This window comes from Homo sapiens, chromosome 5 (assembly GCF_000001405.40).
Source record: "Homo sapiens chromosome 5, GRCh38.p14 Primary Assembly".
Classification (NCBI taxonomy): Eukaryota; Metazoa; Chordata; class Mammalia; order Primates; family Hominidae; genus Homo; species Homo sapiens.
In genome coordinates, this window is record NC_000005.10 from 102,177,069 (window position 1) to 102,183,910 (window position 6,842).

The window sequence follows — 6,842 nt, forward strand, 5'->3', positions numbered from 1 at the left end:
TTTTTTTTGAGACGGAGTCTCGCTCTGTCGCCCAGGCTGGAGTGCAGTGGCGCGATCTCGGCTCACTGCAAGCTCCGCCTCCCGGGTTCACGCCATTCTCCTGCCTCAGCCTCCCAAGTAGCTGGGACTACAGGCGCCCGCCACTACGCCCGGCTAATTTTTTGTATTTTTAGTAGAGACGGGGTTTCACCGTTTTAGCCGGGATGGTCTCGATCTCCTGACCTCGTGATCCGCCCGCCTCGGCCTCCCAAAGTGCTGGGATTACAGGCGTGAGCCACCGCGCCCGGCCAGCTTTTCGGTTTTTTACATCCATTTTTATCAAGTCTCCTTCCTATTTTTCGAATACATATTTTATTTACTTTTAATTATTTTGCTATGTTTATTAGAATTCACACTGTTTCAGTTATTTGCAATTGAATAAGTTCTAATTAATGTAACTATTTTATACAGTCCTATTCCTTGCCAAGACTTTCTGATACTACAAATTCCACTTTTAAGTTGTAAGGAAATTATAAGGAAATGTTCACAAACATTCCGGTAGAGATGTAATAAGACACTACATCTATGGAGAATGATTTGTTGATATTGACCAGAATATAAAATGAACCAAATCATTGACCTCACAATCCCACTTCTAATAATTCAATCTAAAAATATACCCACTCTGTGATAGAATTTATATATGTGAGTATGTATACTTCAGTATTTCTTTTTTTTCTTTGTCTTTTTTTATTATACTTTAAGCTCTGGGGTGCATGTGAAGAAGGTGCAGTTTAGTTACATAGGTATACACATGCTCTGGTGGTTTGCTGCACCCATCAATCCAGGTTGAAAATTCTTTTCTTTAAGAATGTTGAATATTGGCCCCCACTCTCTTCTGGCTTGTAGGGTTTCTGCTGAGAGATCTGCTGCTAGTCTGATGGGCTTCCCTTTGTGAGTAACCCGACCTTTCTCTGTGGCTGCTCTTAATATTTTTTCCTTCATTTCAACCTTGGTGAATCTGACAATTATGTGTCTAGGGGTTATTCTTCTCGAGGAGTATCTTTGTGGCGTTCCCTATATTTCCTGAATTTGAATGTTGGCCTGTCTTGCTAGATTGGGGAAGTTCTCCTGGATAATATCCTGAAGAGTGTTTTCCTACTTGATGTCATACTCCTCATCACTTTCAGGTACACCAATCAAACGCAGATTTCATCTTTTCAAATAAGTCCACGTTTCATGGAGGCTTTGTTTGTTCCTTTTTATTCTTTTTTCTCTAATCTTGTCTTCTCTTCTTCTCTCTTTATTTCATTAAGTTGATCTTCAACCACTGATATCCTTTCTCCCGCTCTATCGATTTGGCTATTGATATTGTGTATGCTTCACGAAGTTCTTGTGCTGTGTTTTTCTGCTCCATCCAGTCATTTATGTTCTTCTCTACACTGGTTATTCTAGTTAGCCATTCGTCTAACCTTTTTTCAAGGTTCTTAGCTTCCTTTCGATGGGTTAGAACATGCTCCTTTAGCTCAGAGGAGTTTGTTATTACCCACCTTATGAAGCCTACTTCTGTCAATTTGTCAAACTCATTCTCCATTCAGTTTTGTTCCCTTGCTGGTAAGGAGTTGTGATCCTTTGGAGGGGAAGAGGCTTTCTGGTTTTTGGAATTTTCAGCCTTTTTACTCTGGTTTATCCCCATCTTTGTGATTTATCTACCTTTGTTCTTTGATGTTGGTGACCTTTGGATGGGGTCTTTGAGTGGATGTGCTATTCCTTCTAACAGTCAGGCCCCTCTGCTGTTGGTCTGCTGGAGTTTGTTGTAGGTCCACTCCCGACCCTGTTTGCCTGGGTATCACTAGCAGAGGCTGCAGAACAGCAAAGATTGCTCCCTGTTCTTTCCTCTGGAAGCTTCGTCCCAGAGGGGCACCTGCCAGATGCCAGCCAGAACCTTCCTGTGTGAGATATCTGTCAGCCCCTACAGGGAGGTGTCTCCCAGTCAGGATACACAGGGGCCAGGGACCCACTTGAGGAGACAGTCTGACCCTTAGCAGAGCTCAAACACTGTGCTTGGAGGTCCACTTTTCTCTACAGCCATCAGGCAGGGACGTTTAAGTCAGCTATAAGTCCCTGACTGGGGCTGCTGCCTTTTTTTTCAGAGATGCCCTGGCCAGAGAGGAAAAATCTGGCAGTCTGGCCACAGCAACCTTGCTGAGCTGCAGTGGGCTCTGCCCAGTTCGAACCTCCCAGAGGCTTTGTTTACACTGTGAGCATAAAACTGCCTACTCTAGCCTCAGCTATTGTGGACACCCCTCCCTCAATCAAGCTCTTGTCCCAGGTCGATCTCAGATTGCCTCTGTGCTGTCAGTGAGAATTTCAAGCCAGTGGATTTTAGTTTCCTTGGCTTCATGGGAATGGGACCTGCCAAGCCAGATGACTTGGCTCCCTGGCTTCAGCACCCCTTTCCAGGGGAGTGAGCGGTCTGTGTTGCTGGCCTTCCAGGGGCCACTGGGGTATGGAAAAAAAAAGAATGCCTGCAGCTAGTTCAGTGTCTGCCCAAATGGCTACCCAGTTTTGTGCTTGAAACCCAGGGCCATGGTAGAGTAGGCACCAGAGGGAATCTCCTGGTTTGCAGGTTGCAAAGACCATGGAACCAGAGCAGTATCTGTGCTGGAGCTCCTTAGGCTCAGTCCCTCATGGCTTCCCTTGGGTAGGGGAGAAAATTCCCCAACCCCTTGCACTTCCTGGGTGAGGCGATGCCCCACCCTGCTTCAGCTCACCCTCCGTGGGCTGCACCCACTGTCCAGCCAGTCCCAATGAGATGAACTGGGTACCTCAGTTGGAAATGCAGAAATCACCCACTTTCCGCATCGATCTCCCTGGGAGCTGCAGACTAGAGCTGCTCCTATTCAGCCATCTGGCCAGCAAGTCCCCAGTACTTCTTAAGTAGCAAAATATTAAAAATAGCTTAACCAAACTGAAATAGTGGTGAAGAGTAAATTGTTAAACTATAGTATGTCATCAGTGAAAATATAACGCAATATTTAAAAAATGAAACAAACATATGAAGTTATGTGGAATGATATCAATATAATAAGAATAAATCTAAGTGAGGTGGCAAATGATCTGTTCATTAAAAACCATAAAACATTAATGAAAGAAATTTTAAAAGACATAAATAAATGGAGAGATAGCTCATGTTAATTGATTGGAAGAATCAGTATTGTGAAAATGTCTATATTACTCAAAGTGATCTACAGATTTAATGCAACACCTATCAAAATCCCAATGGCAATTTTAATAGAAATAAAATAAAAATTTAAAATTCATATCAAACTATAGAAGACCCTGAATAGTTAAATCAATCTTGAATAAGAAGAAAAGAGCAAGAAGTATTATACTACCTGATTTGAAAATGTATTACAAAACTACAGTAATAAAAACAGTATAGTACTTATTTAAGAATAAACATATTGAAAAATGAACAAGAGTAGAAAGCCCAGAAATAAACCTACACATATAAGGCCCAATATCTTTAAAATAACACCAAGAATACAAAAGAAAAAAGGATACTGTCTTCAATAAATGATGTTTGCAAAATTAGATATCCACATGCAAAGGAATGAAATTGAACTTTTATATCACACCATACACAAAAATCAACTCAATGTGGATTAAAGACTTAAATGTTTTACCTGAAATCCAAGAAGAAAACAAAGGACAATGCTTCTTTGACATTGTTCTTGGTGTTATAAATAAAGTTTCAGTGCTGTAAAAGAAATGGCACTCAAATATAAAATGTTATTTTTAATTCTCAGCAAGGCAATGTACTTCTATAGAAGGGTGCGCCCTTACAGACAGAGCAGTGGTGAGCACACACCTGGACAAGAGGGGGGAAGGGGTTCCTATTCCTGATGCTCATGGCCCCTGCTGCTGTGTCATTCCCCTATTGGCTAGGGTTAGACCTTACAGGCTGAACTAATTCCGATTGGCTAATTTAAAGAGAGTGACGAGGTGAGCGGTTTGGCAGGAAAAATGGTTATGGCAGAGCAGGAAATTGGAATGTGTCAGGGTGGAGAATGAGTCATGGTGGAGCAGATAATTGGAATGAGTTAGGGCGGAGCAGGTAATCAAAAAAGATTGCTTTACAAGGAAGTTAGGATTAAAAGTAGAAGGCAAAGAATTGAACATACTGACATATTGATTCATTGAAGAGAAATTTAGAACTTATATCTAACATTGGAAATAGTTGTTTGGGTATGACACCAAAAGCACAGTCATCCAAGGAAAAAATAGACAAATGAGATTGCATCAAACTAAAAAGTTTCTCTACAGCAAAGGAAACAGTCAAAAAAAAAAAAAAAAAGAAAGAAAGGCAACCTAAAGAATGGAAGAAAATATTTGCAAGCCATACATCTGATAAAGGGTTAACATACAAAACATATAAGGAACACATACAACTCAATAGCAAAAAATAACAATAACCTGATTTTAAAATATGCAAAGGAACTATGAAAACACAGACATTTCTCTAAAGAAGACAGACAAAAGAATGGCCAACAGGAATATGAAAAGGCTTTCAACAGCACTGTGAAACGTGTTGTGGAAATGTACATCAAATCTTCAATGAGGTATCACCTCATACCTGCTAGAATGGATATTATCTCTGGGATTTTCCTTCAAGGGGCTGACACTCATTCTGCAGATTTTAATACTAGTGTTCTCTTGGTCTCCCAGAATGTATCAACAAATTTCTTTTCCAAATAATCAAAATCATTCATATTCCTGTAAGTAAGTAGTTTGTTTTTGTTTTTGTTTTTGTTTTTGAGATGGAGTCTCACTCTGTTGCCCATGCTGGAGTGCAGTGCTGCAATCTGGGCTCACTGCAACCTCTGCCTCCCAGGTTCAAACAATTATCCTGCCTCAGCCTCTGGAGTAGCTGGGATTACAGGCATGTGCCAACATGCCTAGCTAATTTTTGTACTTGTAAAGACGGGGGTTTCATCACGTTGGCCAGGCTGGTCTCGAACTCCTTGCCTCAAGTGATCCACCCACCTCACCCTCCCAAAGTGCTGGAATTACATGTGTGAGCCACCGTGCGCAGCCTGTAAATAACCCTTAAAACTGGTTTGTCCGTTAAAATATATTTCAGTTAAGTTGTCCAGTTATGCCACATAAAAACAAAATCAAGCAAAAATGGCAAGCATAATCGTTATAGCCAGGAAAAAAATCTCCCTGATTTCAGAAATGTTAAATGTCTGGGAGTATGTATGTATGTGTAACTATTTATGTACACGTTTGATTACATATACAGAATATTCCTGGAGATATGGGAGAGAGTGGTAATAAGGGTTTTCCCTAAGGAAAGAGCCAGATGTTTTGGAGACAGAAAAGTGGAAGGGAGTATTATTTTTTTACCTTATAGCCTATATATCCATTGAATTTTATTCTGTGAACAAATATTACCTTTTCAAACATAACTTTTCAATATTAATTAAAATTGTACTCCTAATGATTTATTCTCTTGTGTTAAGGCAATGTTTTTTAAGGGATACTGTATTAGAGTTCTTCAAAGAAATATAACCAATAGGATATATATCAAGAAAGATTTATTTTAAGGAATTGGCTCACGTGCTTGTGATGGTCTGGCAAATCCAAAATCTGTAGGCCAGACCAGCAGGCGAGAAATTCTAGCAGGGTTTCTTTGTGGCAGTCTTGAAGCAAAATTTCTTTTTCTGCAGGAAACTTCACTCTTTGTTCTTATAGCATTCAGCTGATTGGATGAAGCAGGCTATGGAGGGTAATCAGCAACACTTAAAGTCCACTGATCATAAATGTTAACCACATCTGAAAAATACCTCTACAGCAACATCCAGACTACTATTTGACCACACATGTGGGCACCGTAGCTAAGCCATGTTGACACATTATATATTCACAGATAGTATATGGACAAGTAATTGTGTACAACTGATTTGAAATGAGATATTAATAAACTTTTTGAAACAGTTATATACAATACTTCTTTCTACATGTACTTGAAAAAAGATAACTAAAGTATTAATTCTAAGATATCAAGCAGATTACTGCAAATAATAATTCCAAGTCTATTTAAGATAGAATAAAGGTGTTAATTAAGTAATAGTACAAGTGGTATGTGGCAAAAAGTTGGAGATGGTGCTAAAATGACTGGATTTTGAAAAACCTTGGCCTAACACCTGTACCCTTACAAAGAAAAATATCCTTTAATAATGAAACTAACAGATACTTTCCCAGGAGTGAATTTTGATGAATGAAAGCTGTATGCTAAGGATAGCATAGCAGAGTATCTTAGTTCATTCTAGCTTCTGTAACAAAATGCCATAAATTGTGTGACTTATAAATAAGAGAAATTTATTTGTTATAATTCTGGAGGCTGAAAACTTCAATAGTAAGACCCCAGAAGATTCAGTGTATTATGAGGGCACATTTTCTGGTTCATGGTTGGCAACTTTTCATTGTGTCCTTACACAGTGGAAGGAACTAGCTAGGTCTCTGTATTCTCTTTTTATAAGAGCATTAATGTAATTCATGAAGGCCCCACCCTCATGATGTAATCACTCACAGAATCTTCACATACTGATACCATCAATTCTTATCACATATTTTGTTTTTAGTTTTGTTTTTCTCATAGCTGTTCTTTTCTTTCTAGTTTTAGGTCAAGGAAAAATACATGAGAAAAAATAGTTTTAAATGAGACACATCATTTAAGATTACAGTAGGAAATAAATACTGATATGGTTTGGCTGTGTCCCCATCCGAATCTCATCTTGAATTCCCATGTGTTGTGGGAAGGACCAGATGGGAGGTGATTAAATCATGGAAGCTGG

The 6,842-nt window shown here is 39.4% G+C and overlaps 1 annotated feature.

The window, feature by feature from the left end:
• Positions 4,700-5,899: an enhancer, noted in NCBI's record as "BRD4-independent group 4 enhancer chr5:101517472-101518671 (GRCh37/hg19 assembly coordinates)". NCBI's record gives its function as "activates an origin of replication core promoter dependent on BRD2, P300/CBP, MED14 and CDK7 cofactors, and independent of BRD4, by STARR-seq in HCT116 cells {active_cell/tissue: HCT116}" and the evidence as "EXISTENCE:reporter gene assay evidence [ECO:0000049][PMID:35650434]".